At 36.5% G+C, this 21,338-nt stretch overlaps 1 long non-coding RNA gene across 6 annotated transcripts in view; it reads left to right on the top strand.

Moving 5' to 3' along the window:
- Positions 1-5,035: 5,035 nt before the first annotated feature.
- The window catches only part of LOC105377885 (uncharacterized), a 143,181-nt gene continuing 126,878 nt past the window's right edge, over positions 5,036-21,338 (top strand). For 4 of the 6 annotated variants that reach the window (XR_001744251.1, XR_007059669.1, XR_001744250.1 and 1 more), the window contains exons 1-2: positions 5,036-5,113; positions 5,629-5,871. This is a non-coding gene — a long non-coding RNA (uncharacterized LOC105377885). The other 2 variants (XR_001744254.2, XR_007059670.1) reach the window with 2 other exon arrangements.

Genomic DNA, 21,338 nt, shown 5'->3' with positions numbered 1-21,338 from the left:
ATGGTTTTGCAAATCTCTTCCTCTGTTTTATCGATTGCCTTTTCACCTTGTTGATTATTTTCTTTGCTAGGCAAAGTTTTTTTTCTCTTCTTAAGACTTGTTATAGGCCAGGCACAGTGGTTTATGGTTGTAATCTCAGCACTTTGGGAGGCCGAGGGGGCAGATCCCTTGAGGTTATGAGTTTGAGACCAGCCTGGTCAACATGGTGAAACCCCATCTCTACTAAAAATACAAAAATTGGCCAGGTGTGGTGGCACATGCCTGTAATCCCAGTTACTCAGGTGGCTGAGGCAAGAGGATTGCTAGAACTCAGGTGGTGGAGGTTGCAGTGAGCCAAGAGCTTGCCACTGCACTCCAGCCTGAGCAATAGAGGGAGACTTTGTCTCCAAAAATAAATAAATAAATAAATAAAGAAAGAAAGAAAGAAAGAAAGAAAGAAAGAAAGAAAGAAAGACTTGTTATACCTCAGCTGGCTCCTGATTTAGGTTTATGGTCCTCACTCTTATTCTACACCCCTTTGTACTTAAGTCTTGCCTTACTGTGTATTTCCTTTCTTCCTTCCTTTCTATGGTGCCAGGTATAGTATTATATATTAAGTGGAAACTCAGTAATTGAGTTACTGAACTGAATGATTTAAAATGCCACACGATCCCTTCTAGTTTTGACTTCTTATCAGGTCTCCAAGTTCATGTCTCCAAATGCTTTCTTAACATCTCAAAACTGTCTCATTGCCAACATATGAGGCCTTACAATTATCCTTCTTCCACTTTCCTCTTATGTAATAAAGCATTAAGTTCTCGCTATTCCTTCCGGACAATAAGTCTTAAATTGAACATTTCTTTTCCAGTCACAAGGTCCCTGGGAGGCAATCCTAACTAACATAATCCCTCCAAATGCCACCTCCTGTTCTGCTCTCAGCTGCAGACTCAAACAAAAGGTCACCCCATTATTGTCCTATTCAGGAACCTATGGTGATCTCCAGTCACCCTGAGGACAAAATAAAAAATTTCCCTTGGCTTTCATTGTGCTCTATGAAGGTGGGAAATACAGTTTCAACCCCAAACCCTAAAATGGTCTCCTCACTTTAACCAAATGTACTTTTTCATCTCCAATATGACCTCCTCATTCCTATCTCTGTACCCTCACTGTTTCCTGGAAGACTTTCCAACGTGGATTAAATAATTCAAGTCTTACTCTCCTCTAAAATCCTAACTCAACTATGCATTTAATTTCCTCTGACAAGTCTAACTCAAATGAATTTTGACCTAACTTTGAATTTCATTAGCATCTCTGTATGTTTTAACATTTAACAAGTTAATGCTTTCATTAATATAACAGCATTTTCTTTTGTGATATCGCTACTTTGTACTTTTTTCTGAGCAGTGAGGATGGAGAAAATTGCAGTAATTTTTTAAAATTTGGAGTTATAGATTTTTGGAAAAGTCAAGAAGCAATGATTTTTGCTGCACCATAGCTGCTTCTAAAACCAAACCAAAACAAAACAATTAACTTTGCAATGACCTTACACCAACTTTCCATAGATCTAAAACCCAAGGTGGCTGTCATAGGATCATGTTTTTTGAATATGTTTTCAAAGTAATTAACTAGCCCAAGCAGTCATGACCCAAGTGCAAGTGGAATGCTGGGCTCATAAACAATGTGCTGGTTGAGGAAGCAAAAGTCCCTTAGGGACCCGTGGCACTAACTTAGTCTATGATCTTGGACAATTCACTTAACTTTTTGAAAATCTTCCTTTCTATTTCCAAATGGGGATAAGATTAGTGTCCAAGAGGTATTAATCTCAGGAGTCTTTAGTTCTTGATAGGCAAGACATAAATTATGACATTAGGCTAAAGCAAATTCTCTCTTTATTAGAAATAGATCGTCTATGTATTTAGAGTTAACCCATCTTATTCTGAAATAAAGGGTTTTATGTCAGTTTTCAAAATATGTACTATAAGACTTTACTTTTGTAAGTTAAAAAAAGTCAAGGTGAGTGGACAATAAGTAGTAAGAAAAATAAGAGACGCACAGAAAAAATAAGTAGAAAAAGCCATGATGAAAAATAAGAGTGGGATTAATGCACAGAAAGTATGTCCTGAGAAGCAATCCACTTGCTACAGATGGACTGAAAATCTGACTCTGAGATTTCTAACTCAGATAGGAGAACAGGATCAGTTAAATGATTCATGAGATCCATAAGTAAAAACAAACCAGCTGCTCAAAAGCATAACTATTCCTGGTACAAAGATCAGAGGGAAATTTCCTGTTCTAAACAATGACACTCAGCTGATGAAGGGAAGCAGGCACAACAGTTCAGTAAGTGATACAAAATTTTCCCTTTTAACATTTTTGAGTCTTTTTTGTAGTGTCTTTGCCCCCATTCTATTTTTCAATAAGAAAAGGTTGGCAATAGGCTAGATTGGTCAAAGACTTTGATAGGTGAAAATAATTTTTAGGGGGAATTTGAAAGAAACAGCTAGGGAGTGGCAAAGAAACACATCGAGAAGGAACAGGTCAAGAGTACAGAAATGACAAGTTTTCAGGCCAAGGCAAGGACAAATTAGGAAGTTAGAAGCCATCTGGACAGATGGAGTGTGGTGCCAAAGCCCTAAAGTAGCAGAGCCTGAGTTTTATGTAGAAGATAAAGAAAATGAGCTAATCATTGCAACTATGTGATATTATAATTATAGTGAGTAAATTTATTTTAATAGAAATATTCAATAGCATTTTTTGCATTTTTATTTCACTTATACTATTTCTAGAAAAAAAATTATATATTTAATTATTCTGAATTGGGCCTGAAAGAACTTCTACATTGAGACTACAATTAGCTTTGGCCTTAGTCCATTACAAAGGAAGTAAAGGCAATTGGAAAATGACCAAATGATGTAAACAGGCAACTTAAAAGACAGAAAATTTGTATTTGTGTGGTCAATACACGTAAAATATTCTTTTTTTTACGGGTAATTATAAATGCACATTGAATCAGCAATGATATACTAGTTTCATCTATCATTTAAAATCACACAGCGGCTTTAATTTTAAATGATAATACACAGCATTGGCTCTCTCATTCTCAGCTGGTGGCAGGGTAAGCTGACACAATCTTTGTACAGTTTGGCAATATATACCAAATCTTTAACAACCAGCACACACTTTAATTTAGCAATTTCACTTCTAAGAATTTATTCATAGAATATAACTAAGGGCAATGCCAAAGATGTTCACTGCAGAATTTTTCAGTGATATTTAAAAATACAAAGGCTAAAAAACCAACAATTAGAAATTTGTTCATTAAATTATAATTCATGCATATGATAGAGTACTATGCATTCATAAAAACGGCAGATGTCACAGAAATTTTGGCCTGGGAAGATACTCATAACATCTTGTTTTGTGCCAAAAGCAGGTTACACCAAGATGTATTGTAAAGCTATAGTTGATCAAGATAGTGTGTTATTGACTTAGATATAAGTTTAGGCAAATAGATTGGTGGAATGAAATAGAGACCAGAAATAGATGCAGATATATACAGTCAGTTAATTTTTAACAAAGGCACAAAGCATTTGAAAGGGAAAAGAAAACCCTTTCAACAAACAATCCTAGAAAAACTAGACATCCATGTGAGAAAATAAATGTACCCTAGCCCCTACCTCACACCATAAACCAAAAAAGTAATTCAAAATTGATCATAGACCTAAACATAAAAGCAAAAATTATAAAGCTTCTAAAAGAAAACAAGGATAATATCTTTGCAATTTTGGGAGAGGCAAAAATGTCTTAGCTAAGTCACAAAAGCACTAACCATAAAACATAAAATTGGTAAATTAGACATTATCAAAATTTATTCTCATAAAAACACACCACTAAAGAAATGAAAAGGTGCACCACAGACTGGGATCAAAGGTTTGCAACCCAAATAGCTGACAAAATACTTGTAATCAGAATAAACAAACAATGCCAACAATTCAATATTGAAAAACCAAATAACCCAATTAAAATAAACAAGGAGATACTTTGCAAAAGAAGATACTTCCCAAATACTAGTGGATATTTCACAAAAGAAGATAATGTAAATGACCAATAAACACATGAAAAAGGTGCTCAATAACATTAGACATTGGGGAAATGCAACTTAAAACTTCAGTGAAAGATTACTACATACTTACGAGATTGCTGCAACTTGAAAATGGGAAGTTAAATGTTGGTGAGTACATATAGTAACTGAAACTCTAATAAATTGCTGGTGGAAGTGTAAAATGATACTATCACTTCAGAAAATCATTTGGCAATTTTAAAAATAAGATCAAATATATATCTAGCCTGTGATGTGCAATTAAACTCCTTAGTTTTTACCCAAGATAAATGAAGACATACACCCATGAAAAAAAAGACTTGTACAAAGATGTTAACAACAGCTTTATTCGTATTAGCTCTAAACTCTGAAGACAACCTAAAGTCTGTAAATAGGTAAATTAATTAACAATTTGTGGTATATTCATACAGTAGAATACTAGGCAGCAATAAGAAGGAATGAACAACATTTAGCAACAAGAATGAATCTTTAGTGATACTGCTGAGTAAGAAAAGCAAGACAGAAAAAAGTACATACTGTCTGATTCAATTTATAAGAAGTACAATAACAAATGAAAATGATTATATGGTGAAAAACCACAAACAGTGGTTGCTGCTGGGGAGGTGGGCAGGGATTGACTGAAAGAGGTCATGAGAAAGCTTTTTGGACAGACATAAATACTTTGTGATTAGTGATGGTTGCATATGACATTTGTCAAAACTCATCAATGTACACACAAAATCTGTGCATTTTATTTGTGGCAACATTTCTAAGAAGGTCACCATTAATCCCTGCCTCTTGGTATTTCAAACTCTCTCACATTCATTGTTGGTCTGGGTGACCCTGAGGATACAGCAGAAATGGTGTATGTAACTTCTGACATTGGGTAATGGAAGACACCATGGCTTCCGTTTTGATCTTGCTTTCATGCTCTTCCTCTTTTGGATCACTTGCTCTGGGGAAGCCAGCTGCCATGTCCTGAAGATACTAAGGCAACCGTGTGCAGAGGAACTAAAATACCGAGTTCAACAACAGGTGAGTAGGGAAAACCAAAAACCAGGGCAGGGAGCTTGGAAATGGCTAGTCCGGTCTTCAGATGACTGTAGCTTGGCTTACCTCTTCACTGCAACTTCATGGGAGATCCAGCACCAGAACCACTCAACCGAGCCACTCTCAGGTTCCTGATCCACATGAACTTTGTGAGTTAAAAAATGTTTGTGTTTTTTAAGTTGCTAAAATTTGGGGTACTTTTTAATGCAGTAGTAGAAAATTGATGCCCTTTGTATATAAATTCCTTAATTTAAAATAAAGCAAGTAACATAACATATAGTATATTGGTCTGTTTCTTTAAAAAACATCTTGTACATCAAAATATTGATAACTGTTGTCTGGGTGGTAAGATTATGTGTGGTTTAACTTCTTTATGTTTCTAAGTATTTTTTATTTCTTCTAAATAGTATTATACAAATATTGTAACTTTTAAAATAAACTTTTAATAAAAGCAGAAAATAAAAATAACTCTTTTTTTTTCTGTGTTCACCCTTCTACAGATCACAGGTTGCGAGAGGTCTTAAATCCATACTCTTCCAGTGACTAGAGCAAATGCAGCCCTAGGTCTGGCATCCTGAATTTTTGTCTTATTTTTTCATTAGTACACGAGACTCTACTTTCATCTTTTTAAAAGGTCTCTTGCTATCCTTCAAGCAAAGCTATCTCCAAATCTGAAGAAGAGACCAAGAAATAGAAAAAGTAGCACCTCTTGCCTGCTTCCCTGTCTAATATTTGAAAGAGTGGTGAGTATTGATGTTATTATTGCCTTTTCCTTTTTTTATATTGCTACCAAAGCCATGAGTATTCTCTTTTTTTCTTTCTCTTTTTAAAAAACAAAAAATACTAAACTCAGTTTTTAAAGGGGTTTATAACCCTTGGGTCTTGGTCCCATCCAAAAGCATCTTCATTTTTATTCACTCGGAAAATCTGACTTTATGTGGTGAGCCCAAGAAGATTTGGGTTGAGGTGGTCTGAGGATTTGGGTTGAGGCCAAAAGCCAGTACCAGGGCTGAATAGTGGCAAAAATTGGGGCCAAAACCTATAGCAAGTGCAGAATGATGGGAACTCCCAGGTGTCCTGTGGTTCTTTTTGTTCCCAGGAGGCTCTGTAGCACCATTTGAACTTCTTGTTCTTTAGAATCATCCCCAGCTTTTGCAGTATTCTCAGACACAGCAGGAAAAACAGCCACGCAGCTTGAACTTAGGGTGCACACTGTGATGCTCACATAGAGCTGGGAACACTCTTGGCATGGTGCACACACCTTTTAATGGATGCAGCCGTCATCCACCAAGTGCCAATGACGACAGGCAACCAGCTGTCATAGCTTACATTGCCAGGGCCTTGTAGAAAAGGTATGACACAGAAAACATCAGTATCCAGGAAGTGATTACGTCCATTTTCTGTGACTCTGGGCCAGATTATGCAGTCTCTGTGTTCTTCATGCCCTTTGTTGATTCTCCAGATTCTGGACTGGGGGCCTCGTGGTCCTGTTGGTAGGTGATACTGGGGGAAGAAACAATGGTCACATTGTATAAGCTATCAGTTACTGGCCTGGTCAAAACTCTCGGAGAATAAGGCTGAAATCATGGGATAAAATGAAATTTGTGGATATACAAATATAATTTGTCCTTTATGACAGTACTCAGAAATCCACAAGGAAAATGTTGTATGGGAGTTGGGCATTGTCAGTGTTTAGGTAGGAGAGCCTTTATTAGGGTGACTGGATTTTCTTTTCTACCTTTTTTTTGGTGATATAATATACGTAGCATAAAATTTACCATCTTAACTATTTCAAGTGCACCGTTCTTGGGCGTTCAGTACATTTACATTGTAGTGCAACCATCACCAGCATCCACCTCCAGAATTCTTTTCATCTCACAAAGTTGAAACTCCATACCCATTAAACAGCTGTCCATTATCTCCTCTCCCGCTCCCTGGAAACCACCATTCTACTTTCTGTCTCTATGAATTTGACTACTCTAAGGACCTCATGTAAGTGGAATTGTACAGTATTTGCCTTTCGGTGACTGGCTTATTTCACTTAGCAAAATGCCTTCAAGGTTCATCCAAGTTATAGCATGTGCCAGGATTTTCTTCCTTTTTAAGGCTGAATAATATTTCATTGGATGTCTCTATCACATTTTATTTATCCATTCACTCATTGATGGAATCTTGGATTGCCCCTCCTTTTGCCTATGAACATGGATATATATTTTCTACCATTTTTCATGAGTTAAAAATCAGGCTTGTAATTTTACACATTTTTTTTCTAATTTACTTTTGGATCTTTTTGTTATTTCAAGGACCTAGGGTATGGTCTGATATGATAGAATTGACAGTGGGAATGAATCAGAGGCAAGGAGCATATAAAGTCAGTAGAGCCACCATACATTGCTAAATTTGGGTTCAAGTCCTGGACTACTATAGATAAGAAAATTACTTATCAATGATCTTTCAATAATTCCTAAAAAAAAACCCTCCCTTGAATGAAATCCAAATTTGGTTTATACTGAGTTCTCATTAGAAAATAACATTTAAAAGAAAAAGTGACATTAATATTGAAAGAGCACTGTTATAGAAACATTTAGAATTTTCTTATATGTAACAACTTTCTTTTCTTCTTAAAAAATTTTTTTTTTGAGATGGAGTGTCACTCTTTTTGCCAGGCTGGAGTGCAGTGGTGCGATCTCAGCTCACTGCAACCTCCACCTCCCGAGTTCAAGTGATTCTCCTGCCTCATCCTCCCAGGTAGCTGGGATTACAGGTATGGGCCACCATGCCTGGCTAATTATTGTATTTTTAGTAGAGATGTGGTTTTGCCATTTTGGCTAGGCTGGTCTTGAACTCCTGACCTAAAGCAATCCACCCACCTGGCTTCCCAAAGTGTTGGGATTACAGGCGTGAGCCACTGCATCTGGCCAATAACTTTACTTTCTATCAGTCTGGAAATATTAATAAAATATTGTCAACTTGCAATTTGTCACAAAAATCACTGACATATTTGGAAGTGGTCATTCAAGCAGGTGTGTGTAGCGATGGCCAAGAGGAATCGCAGAGCTGTGTGCTCAATATGGTGGCCACTAGCCATATATGACTAATGAGACTTGACAAGTGGGTATTCTGAAATGAGATGTGCTGTATGTGTAAAATACACCTTGGATTTTGAAAACTTGGTTCAAAAAAAAAAAAGAAGGTAAAATAACTCAATAATGTTTTATATTGGTTACATGGTAAAATGGTAATAGTTTGGATATGCAGAAGTTCTCCCTTATCTGTGGGGGATACAGGTTTCAAGACCACCAGTGGATGCCTGAAACTGAGAATAGTGCTGAACCCAATTGCCATCAATCGAGACATGTTTCTGTTCATCTTCCACCCACAAATTTGATGCCTTTTCCATCTTGACAACACTTATCACATACTGTGGCCATAACTTGCAGTTTGAGGTGCAACAGGAAAGCTAGCAAGCATGAATTTCTTTTTCCTTCCACACAATTTCACAGTTTTGTTCTTACTGCAGATATTAGCGACTTTGGCATATGATTTTTTCCTTCTTCATTAAGTTGAAAAGTTTTACCTTTTTACTTAAAGGAAGCACTTAACTGCTTCTCTTTGGCATATGTGAATTGCCAGCATTATTCCTCTTGCACTTTGGGGCCATTAGTAGGTAAAATAAGAGTTGCTTGAACACAAGCACTGTGACACCATGACAGTGGATCTGATGAGGGCAGGGAGTGTCTACAGCTCCCTTGGATGACTCATGACTCAGGTAGGATGGAGCTGGACAAGGTGAGACTTTATCATGTTACTGACTGTCACACAACTTAACATTTGCAAATTGTTACATTTATGAAATTTTCCATTTAATATTTTCAGACCATGATTGACTGCAGGTAACTGAAATCATGAAAAGTGAAACCACAGATTAGTGAGGGACTACTACGCTGGGTTAAATTAAATATATCATTAAAATTAATTTTAGTTTTTTTACTTTTAAAAATGTGATCACCAGAAAATTTAAAACAACATATGTGGCTTACATTATATTTCTAATATACAATGCTACCCTAAAGATTAGTTTATATGTTATAATTTTTGTGGAATTGTTTGGTGTACCAACATTTATATTAGTATGCAAAATAACTTTAAAGAACTGCATTTAATTTATAATTTTAATTAAATAATCATATTTAGATCATGAGTCTTTAAAAATAAAAGCCCTATTTGGGAGTTTTAAAGAAATATCATTTGAGGATAAATATTAACTTGGCCAACTAAAGTTGATTTTAACTCCCAAATTATGTATGTCAGCGATAAGTTATCTTAGATACACACGTAAAAAGAATTTGAAGAAGATAAAAACAATTGTAAGGAAAAAATTAGGCACCTTAGAAATCTTGCTCTTACATTAACCTCAGCTGAAAGTAAATGTCTATTCCTATCATGAATATGTACTTCAGTGGCCATGGGCGAAATGCAGCAAATGAGAAATTATTGTCTCTAAACTATAGCAATAAACTTTTTAAAATCTGACTACAAAAATTTTTATAATACAATTAAAATAATAATTACATTTTTTGATACAATTTAAGATTTACTTCTGTTTACAAAAGCTCATTCTACTGTGGCAAATTAGGTTCCTAGGGCTGCCAAATAGGTTACCACGAACTTGGTGACTTAAAAGAATAGAAATGGATTCTCTTACAGTTCTGGAGGCCAGAAGTCCAAAATCAAGGTGTTGGCAGGGTTGGTTCCTTCTGGAGACTCCGAGGGAGATCCCTTTCCATGACACTTCTTTTCTGGCTTCTGGGGGCTGTTGTGTGGCTCATAACTGCAGAACTCCAATGTCTGCCTCCATCTTCATGTGGCATGGCCTTTATCCCTGCGTGTCTTTGTGCCTCAAATCTTCCTTTCCTTTTTCTTATAAAGACTTCAGTCATTGGCTTTGAGGCCCATTGTAAATCCAGGATGTTCTCATCTGGTGATTCTTAATCTAATTACCTCTACAAAGACCCTATTTCCAAATACGGTCACATGTTCAGGTACAGGGAGTTAGGATTTGTACATGTCTATTTGAGGGACACGATTCAACCCATTACAGGTGGTATTTAGCTTTAGTCATATATTAATGTTAACACTTATCCACTCATGATTGGTTAGTGACTCTATTCAGAGATCCAGGAGCCATAAGAAGAAGGGGATTTATGGCCAATTTATGAGGACATCTTGAGACAGGAGAACACGCACGAGCTACTTGTGCTGCTGCTGTGGCATCTGCTGGAGTTGACCACCAAAGCACACATCCTCTTAGTCTGGAGAAGAGAGGACCCCAGCTGGCGGGAACCATGCCCATTCCCTTCTATGCCATCAGCCTGATCTGCACCTTGCCTGGAGTGGTGAGAATTGGAGACCCTGAACCCCCTCTCAGACAAGAGATGTCACTTTTCTCCCTGGCTCAGTCTTGAGAAATACCAGAAAGCATTAAAATGTGCTTGAGTTTTTATGTATTCTCTACAAGTCTGTAAGGGTACACTCTTACAGAGAGAATCTGCTTTTACTCCTAAAGTTGAGTTAAAGAGTTCTTGAGAGGTAGGTAGTCAATGTGGAAGCAGGAAATTTTTTTTTTTTATTGTTATACTTTAAGTTTTACGCTACATGTGCACAATGTGCAGGTTAGTTACATATGTATACATGTGCCATGCTGGTGTGCTGCACCCATTAACTCGTCATTTGGCATTAGGTATATCTCCTAATGCTATCCCTCCCCTCTCCCCCCACCCCACAACAGTCCCCAGAGTGTGATGTTCCCCTTCCTGTGTCCATGTGTTCTCATTGTTCAATTCCCACCTATGAGTGAGAACATGTGGTGTTTGGTTTTTTGTCCTTGCGATAGTTTACTGAGAATGATGATTTCCAATTTCATCCATGTCCCTACAAAGGACATGAATTCATCATTTTTTATGGCTGCATAGTATTCCATGGTGTATATGTGCCACATTTTCTTAATCCAGTCTATCATTGTTGGACATTTGGATTGGTTCCAAGTCTTTGCTATTGTGAATAGTGCTGCAATAAACATACGTGTACAAGTGTCTTTATAGCAGCATGATTTATAGTCCTTTGGGTATATACCCAGTAATGGGATGGCTGGGTCAAATGGTATTTCCAGTTCTAGATCCCTGAGGAATCACCACACTGACTTCCACAATGGTTGAACCAGTTTACAGTCCCACCAACAGTGTAAAAATGTTCCTATTTCTCCACATCCTCTCCAGCACCTGTTGTTTCCTGACTTTTTAATGATGGCCATTCTAACTGGTGTGAGATGGTATCTCATTGTGGTTTTGATTTGCATTTCTCTGATGGCCAGTGATGGTGAGCATTTTTTCATGTGTTTTTTGGCTGCATAAATGTCTTCTTTTGAGAAATGTCTGTTCATGTCCTTTGCCCACTTTTTGATGGGGTTGTTTGTTTTTTTCTTGTAAATTTGTTGGAGTTCATTGTAGATTCTGGATATTAGCCCTTTGTCAGATGAGTAGGTTGCGAAAATTTTCTCTCATTTTGTAGGTTGCCTGTTCACTGTGATGGTAGTTTCTTTTGCTGTGCAGAAGCTCTTTAGTTTAATTAGATCCCATTTGTCAATTTTGGCTTTTGTTGCCATTGCTTTTGGTGTTTTAGACATGAAGTCCTTGCCCATGCCTATGTCCTGAATGGTAATGCCCAGGTTTTCTTCTAGGGTTTTTATGGTTTTAGGTCTAATGTTTAAGTCTTTAATCCATCTTGAATTGATTTTTGTATAAGGTGTAAGGAAGGGATCCAGTTTCAGCTTTCTACCTATGGCTAGCCAGTTTTCCCAGCACCATTTATTAAATAGGGAATCCTTTCCCCATTGGTTGTTTTTCTCAGGTTTGTCAAAGATCAGATAGTTGTAGATATGCGGCGTTATTTCTGAGGGCTGTGTTCTGTTCCATTGATCTATATCTCTGTTTTGGTACCAGTACCATGCTGTTTTGGTTACTGTAGCCTTGTAGTATACTTTGAAGTCAGGTAGCGTGATGCCTCCAGCTTTGTTCTTTTGGCTTAGGATTGACTTGGCGATGCGAGCTCTTTTTTGGTTCCATATGAACTTCAAAGTAGTTTTTTCCAATTCTGTGAAGAAAGTCATTGGTAGCTTGATGGGGATGGCATTGAATCTGTAAATTACCTTGGGCAGTATGGCCATTTTCACGATATTGATTCTTCCTACCCATGAGCATGGAATGTTCTTCCATTTGTTTGTATCCTCTTTTATTTCATTGAGCAGTGGTTTGTAGTTCTCCTAGAAGAGGTCCTTCATGTCCCTTGTAAGGTGGATTCCTAGGTATTTTATTCTCTTTGAAGCAATTGTGAATGGGAGTTCACTCATGATTTGGCTCTCTGTTTGTCTGTTATTGGTGTATAAGAATGCTTGTGATTTTTGTACATTGATTTTGTATCCTGAGACTTTGCTGAAGTTGCTTATCAGCTTAAGGAGATTTTGGGCTGAGACAATGGGGTTTTCTAGGCATACAATCATGTGGTCTGCAAACAGGGACAATTTGACTTCCTCTTTTCCTAATTGAATACCCTTTATTTCCTTCTCCTGCCTAATTGCCCTGGCCAGAACTTCCAACACTATGTTGAATAGGAGTGGTGAGAGAGGGCATCCCTGTCTTGTGCCAGTTTTCAAAGGGAATGCTTCCAGTTTTTGCCCATTCAATATGATATTGGCTGTGGGTTTGTCATAGATAGCTCTTATTATTTTGAGATATGTCCCATCAATACCTAATTTATTGAGAGTTTTTAGCATGAAGGGTTGTTGAATTTTGTCAAAGGCCTTTTCTGCATCTATTGAGATAATCATGTGGTTTTTGTCTTTGGTTCTGTTTATATGCTGGATTACATTTATTGATTTGTGTATATTGAACCAACCTTGTATCCCAGGGATGAAGCTGACTTGATCATGGTGGATAAGCTTTTTGTTGTGCTGCTGGATTCGTTTTGCCAGTATTTTATTGAGGATTTTTGCATCAATGTTCATCAAGGATATTGGTCTAAAATTCTCTTTTTTGGTTGTGTCTTTGCCCAGCTTTGGTATGAGGATGATGCTGGCCTCATAAAATGAGTTAGGGAGGATTCCCTCTTTTTCTATTGATTGGAATAGTTTCAGAAGGAATGGAACCAGTTCCTCCTTGTACCTCTGGTAGAATTCAGCTGTGAATCCATCTGGTCCTGGACTCTTTTTGATTGGTAAGCTATTGATTATTGCCACAATTTCAACTCCTGTTATTGGTCTATTCAGAGATTCAACCTCTTCCTGGTTTAGTCTTGGGAGAGTGTATGTGTCGAGGAATTTATCCATTTCTTCTAGATTTTCTAGTTTATTTGCATAGAGGTGTTTGTAGTATTCTCTGATGGTAGTTTGTATTTCTGTGGGATCAGTGGTGATATCCCCTTTATCATTATTTATTGCATCTATTTGATTCTTCTCTCTTTTTTTCTTGATTAGTCTTGCTAGCGGTCTATCAATTTTGTTGATCCTTTCAAAAAAACCCAGCTCCTGGATTCATTAATTTTTTGAAGGGTTTTTTTGTGTCTCTATTTCCTTCAGGTCTGCTCTGATTTTAGTTATTTCTTGCCTTCTGCTAGCTTTTGAATGTGTTTGCTCTTGCTTTTCTAGTTCTTTTAATTGTGAAGTTAGGGTGTCAATTTTGGATCTTTCCTGCTTTCTCTTGTGGGCATTTAGTGCTATAAATTTCCCTCTACACACTGCTTTGAATGTGTCCCAGAGATTCTGGTATGTTGTGTCTTTGTTCTTGTTGATTTCAATGAACATCTTTATATCTGCCTTCATTTCATTATGTACCCAGTAGTCATTCAGGAGCAGGTTGTTCAGTTTCCATGTAGTTGAGCGGTTTTGAGTGAGTTTCTTAATCCTGAGGTCTAGTTTGATTGCACTGTGGTCTGAGAGACAGTTTGTTATAATTTCTGTTCTTTTACATTTGCTGAGGAGAGCTTTACTTCCAAGTATGTGGTCAATTTTGGAATAGGTGTGGTGTGGTGCTGAAAAAAATGTATATTCTGTTGATTTGGGGTGGAGAGTTCTGTAGATATCTATTAGGTCCGCTTGGTGCAGAGCTGAGTTCAATTCCTGGGTATCCTTGTTAACTTTCTGTCTTGTTGATCTGTCTAATGTTGACAGTGGGGTGTTAAAGTCTCCCATTATTAATGTGTGGGAGTGTAAGTCTCTTTGTAGGTCACTCAGGACTTGCTTTATGAATCTGGGTGCTCGTGTATTGGATGCATATATATTTAGGATAGTTAGCTCTTCTTGTTGAATTGATCCTTTACCATTATGTAATGGCCTTCTTTGTCTCTTTTGATCTTTGTTGGTTTAAAGTCTGTTTCATCAGAGACTAGGATTGCAACCCCTGCCTTTTTTTGTTTTCCATTTGCTTGGTAGATCTTCCTCCATCCTTTTATTTTGAGCCTATGTGTGTCTCAAGAAGCAGGAAATTCTTGACCCCAGGAGTGATGAGGTGAAAATGGCCTTTGAGGAAGTTTTGTTTGGTGATTCATGTAGGAGAAATTGGAGGGAGCAGACGGAAGGTAAAGACGCAAGTTAGGGAGCTAATATCATAATCCAGGCTTGAGAGCACAGGCTCCAATGTTGGGATGGGGTGGCCTTGAGAAGGAAAATTCAGGGGACAGAAACACTGCACAGTGTGAAGTTGAAGGAAGAGTGAAGGTGCTGACAAGACAAGGAAGTCTGCAATGATTGAGTTGTCTTCATTTTCATTCTTTGTTGGAGGTTCATTTGTTTTCCACTTATTTAGGTTTCTCGTGGGCCCTTTAGCCTGTTAGTGCCTTGTCTCATACTAATCACAAGTGGCTGTTATTGCCAAAATGTGACATATCCAATTTAGGATTCTGCCTGTTAGTTCCCTCCAGCTCTGCTGGATCATTTGCTCGAACTTTTCTTTCTCTTTTTTGCTTATTAGTGTGTCATTTTACAGAGTCTTGCTCAAGCTGCAGAGTTCCATGACAGTCTTCAGACCCTGCAAAGATCCATCTTATGTGTGAAGTTTGTCTAGTTAAGGTTGATTTCTGTGTGTGTATGTTTAATTGTTTGCTAAACTGCAGTGTTATAGTGGTCCAGAAATTTGTTTCAGGATGGGTGGCATGTTTTGTAGTCTGAATGAAAATGGTTCACTAAATCTAAATTTAAGATACTGTCCTGTGTCTCTATTAGGTAGGAGAAATGAATCAGACAAGTTGCAATTAACATTTATTCTACTAGTCATGGGGCTTCATTTTTAAGACCAAATGCAGTGATATCAGATGCAATATATATCTTTGTTGAGGTAGTAGTAGTATTTCCTTTTGATGTTATTATGAGAATTCCATAAGGATGAGTATTCTAGAAGATCTTACTAAAATGGGATGGAGGGAGATACATAGAGAATGGATGCTCAACTCACATGTGCGAAAGTGCCAGTGGCTTATAGCCATAAAGTTGAGTGCACCCACTTCTGTCAGCAGATCAAAGGTATAGGAATCCCAGTTACTGAGTATGGAAAGCACAATGGCCTCAGGTTGCTTTCAGAGATTCTGCCCAATCTCTTGTGAGAGTGTTGGCCTTCACAAGCTGTGGGGTGTATCAGTAGGAGCAGAGGCAGAGAGGGGACTAGGATGGCCAGCAATGAAGAGGCATTGCCTTTAGTCAGAGGGCTGTGGTTTGAAGAACAAAGAGCGGGGGGTCTTTGCAGAAGCCATAGAAGTGCTGATGAGACAGTGTCGACTTTGAAGACCTGCCAGGCCTGAAGAACACGATACCATCCTCAGGCAGTGCCAATCAAACAGGAACTGTTCTGTTCTCTCTTCCCTTATTTCCTCCATACTCTCCCCCAACCTCCATCTTCATCACTGAGGCCGATGGAGGAAGAGATCAAGTTTAGCAAGCCTGGAGAAGAGGAATAACTCCAAGAAGGAGCATTATCTTTAGATGAAAATTGAAGTATGGATTAATATATTGAACTGGACACTTTTAAATGTATGTGTGTGAATGTGTGTTTTGTTTTTAACTTTTTATTTTCAATTATAGACACAGAAAGGTGCAAAAAATACATAGATTCTCTTGTATCCTTCAAGCAGCGTCCCTAAATTGTGACATCTTTTGTAACTATAGTATAATACATATGAGAAACTAGGAAATTGGCATTGGTAAAATAGTTTTAACTAGACTACAGACCTTATTCAGTTTTTCACTGGTTTTTGTGTGCACTTGTGTGTGTGGTGTTTAGTTCTATGCAATTTGATATCAAGTATAAATTTGTGTAATCCTACCACAATCAAATACAAAACTATTCTAACACTGCAAAGAACTCCTGTGTGCTTATAATCACATCTGATCCTGACCTCATCCTCGTCTTCCAAAAATCACTAATCTGTTCTCCATATTTATAGTTGTATCATTTCATTATGACATATAAGTGGAATCATATATTGCAGTGTGTTGCTTTATGAATTGCCTTTTTTTTCACTAAGTAAAATACACTTATCCATCCAAATGGTTGGCTATATCAGTAGTTTGTTCTTTTTTATTGCTGGGTAGTATTCCATTGTGTGGTTTTTCCAGACTTTGTTTAACCATTCACTTGTTGAAAGACATTTGAGTTATTTCCAGTTTGGGGCTATTATAAATAAAGCTACTGTAAACATTCTTGTATGAGTCTTAGTATGAACATAGGTTTTTGTTTCTCTGAAGAAACAAAACACCTGAGAGTTGCTGGGTGGTATGAAAAGTGCATTAGTATTTAGTCTTATAAGAAAATAGCAAGATTTCCAGAGTGGCTGTACTATTTTGTAGTTTCATCAGCAATGTATAAGGGATCTAGTTTCTCTGCATCCTTGTCAGCATATTGTATAATCACGATTTTTTTAGTTCAGTTCTTCTAATAGGTGCACAGGTGTTATATTGCTGTAGTTTTACTTTGCATTTCTCTCATGGATAATGATGGTAAACATTTTTTTTGTGTTTATTTGTGCATCTTCTTTTTGGTGAAATATCTGTTCATGTCTTTAGCTCATCCTCTAATTAAAGTTTTTGTTTTTTTATTGTTGAGTTTTGAAATATCTTTATATATTTCAAATACAAATTATTTGTTAAATGTGTAGTTTGTAAATATTTTCTTCCAGTCTGTAACATGTGTTTTCACCCTCTGATAAAAGGTATTTCATAGAACAAAAAAATTTTAATTTTGAGGAAGTCCAATTTATTAATTTCTTTCTTATAAGCTATGTTTTTGGCTTCATGTTTAACACTCTTCATCTAGCTCTAGGCTTAGAAGATTTTCCTTTTGGATTAGACATTTAAATATTTACTTAGCACAAAATACAGTAGCAAAGGAAGAGCAGAGGGACAAAACCAACATAAGACAAATAGAAACCAGATAGCGAAGTTGTCTGTCTAATACAGTGATATTAATAATTACACAAATGTGGATGGAATAAACACCCTACTCAAAAGGCAGAGATTGTCTGTCTGAACCAAAGAAAACAAGACTCAATAATTGTTGTTTATGAGAGACATGCCTTTGATGCAAAGACAGAAATGGTTTGGAGGTAAAAGGATGGAAAAGACATATTGAAGTAACTATGAAAGAGCTGGAGTGGTTACAATAATATCAAACAAACTTTAAGATAAGAAATATTACTAAAAATATTTCATAATTATAAAAGGATCAATACAGTAAGGGGATACAACAATTTAAAATGTATATGTATTTTATAACTGAGCCTCAAAATACATGAAGCAAATATTGACAGACTTGAAAGGATAAATAGGCAGTTTAACAATAATAGTTAGAGATCTCAATGGCCCACTTTCAATAAATGATAGAACAATTGGACAAAAAAACAACAAGGGTATGTGAGACTTCCGCAAGACTATCAACCCACATGCTCTAAATGATATTTATAGAACACTTGATCCAAAGAATTAAAATACAGTTTTTTTCAAGTGCACATACAACATTCTCTAGGTTATACAATATGCTAATCTAGGAAAGAATTAAATTGGAGATTCACCATACAAAGACATCTGGTAAAAACCCAATATATGTAGAAATTAACACACTTCTGAACAACCTATGGGTCAAAGAATAAATCAAAAGGGAGAGTAAAAAAATATTTTGAATTGGATGAAACAAAAACACAATATATAAAAGTATATGGAAAAATCTAGGTAGTACTAAGCAGAAAATTTGTAACTTTAAAAACCTATCAGAAAAGAATAAAGCTATCAAAAGTCAATAATCTAAGCTTCTACCTTAAAAAACTAGAAAAAGAACAAAGTAAATTAACAGCAAGTATAAGGAAGCAGATAATGACTGAAAATTATTGAAATACAAAACAAAACTGAACAAAAATAATAAAGACAACCAATGAAAGCAAAAGTTCATTCTTTCAAAAGATAGAGAAAATTGATAAGCCCTTACCTTGAATGACAGAGAAAATAAGAAGAAAGACTCAAATTACCAAAATAAGGAATAAGAGAGGGGACAGAATTACTGGTACTATAGAAATTAAAATGATTAAGGGAGAATATCATTAACTATTTTATGCCAATAAATTAGACAACTTAATGAAACGGAAAAGTTCCTAGAAAGATACAAATTACCAAAACTGATTCAAGAACCAGAAAATCTAATTGACCTATGATAAGTCAAGAAATTGAGTTAGTAATTAAAAATCTTCCCACAGTGAAAGCTACAAAATATTGCTGAGATAAATTAAAAAAGAGATGGAGAGACATTTTATGTTTTGGTTTGAAAGACTCATTGTTAAGGTGGAAGTTGTCTTCATATTGATATACAGAACCAACACATTCCCTTTCAAAATACCAGCAGGCTTTCATTATAGAAATTGACAACCTGATTGTAATTTTGTTTGTTGGTTTAATGTGTCAACTTTGCTAGCCTACAGTCCCCAGCTATTCAATCAAACACTAATTTTAGGTGTTGCTGTGAAGGAAATTTGCAGGTGTGCATAATATTAATGAATATTTAACTTTAAGAGAAATGATGGTGGATAATCTTGATGGGCTTGATTCAGTCAGCTAGAAGACTTTAAAACTGGGTCTGAGGCATCCCTAAAAAAAAAGAAGAAAATTTTACTTTGGACAGTAGCATTAGCTCATGCCCAACAGTTCTAGCCTGACCTTCTGGACTGCCTGCCTGTGGGTTTTAGTCTTACTTAAAAAGCCCCTACCATTGCATAGGCCAATTTCTCATAATAAATTTCTTAATATATATCTTTCCTACTGGTTCTGCTTCTCTGGTTTTACTCTGAGTGGCAGATGATCCAATAATTTATATGGAAATGAAAATGATCTACATAAAACAAAACAATTTTAGAACAGAACAAACTTGGATGACTTATCCAATTTCAAAACTTAATATAAAGCTGTAGTAATCATGAAAGTTTAGTATTGATGTAAGGATACATAAATAGAAAAATGAAACAGAACTGAGAGTCCAAAAACTAACCCATCAATTGACTAAGGTCAACTGATAATGAAAATATACGTCCACACAAAGATATGTAGGTGAAAATTCACAGCATCATTATTCATAACAGCCAAAAATGGCAACAACCTAAATGCACATTGATTGGCAAATGGGTGAACAAAACCATGGCATACTTATAGAATGGAATGCCATTCAGCAATAAAAAGAAATGAAACACAGATACATGCTACAATATGGATGAATCTCAAAAGCATTGTGGTAAGTGAAACAAGCCAGACACAAAGACGACAAATTGTATGATTCTGCTTATATGAAGTGACCACAAAAGGTAAATTTATAGAGACAGAAAGTAGATCAGTGGTTCCTGGGTCTGGGGAGGGAGCAGGGATTCATTGTAAATGGGCTTGAAGCAATTTTGGTCGGGGAGTCGTGGAAATGTTCTAAAACTGGGTTGTTATGATGGTTGTGCAACTCACTAGATACTTACTACCATCATTGAATTGTGCATTTACAATGGATTTCCTTACCATATGTAAATTATACTTAAAAAAAAATTATGGAGCTTGCCCCAGTTGTCATCAAAGAAAAAGAAGAGGAAAACTTCCTACAGAGCAAATTTGAAGCAACGGCACAAGATAAAAATAAAGTCAGTTTTGGACACAAGCTCAGCACTTTTCACACACAAGTTATAGAGGTCAATATGGCTCTAGCTAGATAGTGTGACCATCTCTAAGAATGCCATCCTTTTTCATGACATAAATGCATTTTCTCTTAATGCCATGAGACTATGTGAAGATACATGAAAATTTTAATTCAGCAATAGTTATTTTATCTTGCAATATAATTTTACAGTTTTTATTTTAATGAGCCATAAACTATTTTCTATAAGATTCCAGCATAATGGAAAAGCAATGGGAAGAATCACAAACCAGAAGACAACTATGGAAATCCATGGCTTCACAGCCTTCATTTAGTTCCTGCATTAGCCAATTGACTTGACTTGGGAGAAAAACCACTTCAAGGTCAAACTCAACCCCTGCCTCTGGACAATCACCTAAAAAATTGGAGCTTTAACCCTCAATGGGCTTAGCAAAACAATGTGGATGGCTCAGAGTACTTATCTCCAGGGTAGAAAAGGGAGCAATACAATTCAACATTCATAGGAACTATAAAAATCAAAGCAGAAAAGGGTAGGAAGAGCCAAGGCACAATGTCACACTATTTACCAATGACAAATAATATATTTAATTAATAAATAGGAGAGAGTTTGCTGAGAGGCAAGAGTATCAGACGGAAGAGTCACATTTGGTTTTACTTTCAAGTAGTACCAGTTTTAAATGGTAGAATCTAGGTTAAATGTTTGGACAGCAAACTAGAGGTTCTGCAAAAACAGCCTCTCTTCTTTCCCCAATGAAGGGACACTGATTTGTATCCACATTTTAATATTTGGAGGCACTTTGCAAACTGTAGTTTTAAAATCACTGTACGTACCATCTGTCTCTGTTAAATATCCAAAGGCATTTTGGCCACCACCCTACTTTTGTTTCTGTCTTTGGACCCAGTGTTTCTGAGGCAAGTCATGTTTTAAGGCATGTGCTCAGACACTTCTCTACTTCGCAAATCTCTCAGGCACACCAAAGCCTCATCCCAGTCCAGGCAAT

The sequence above is a fragment of the Homo sapiens genome, chromosome 6 (genome assembly GCF_000001405.40).
Source record: "Homo sapiens chromosome 6, GRCh38.p14 Primary Assembly".
In the NCBI taxonomy this organism is placed as follows: domain Eukaryota; kingdom Metazoa; phylum Chordata; class Mammalia; order Primates; family Hominidae; genus Homo; species Homo sapiens.
The sequence above is the reverse complement of the archived record's forward strand: the minus strand, read 5'-3'. Positions and strand labels throughout refer to the sequence as shown.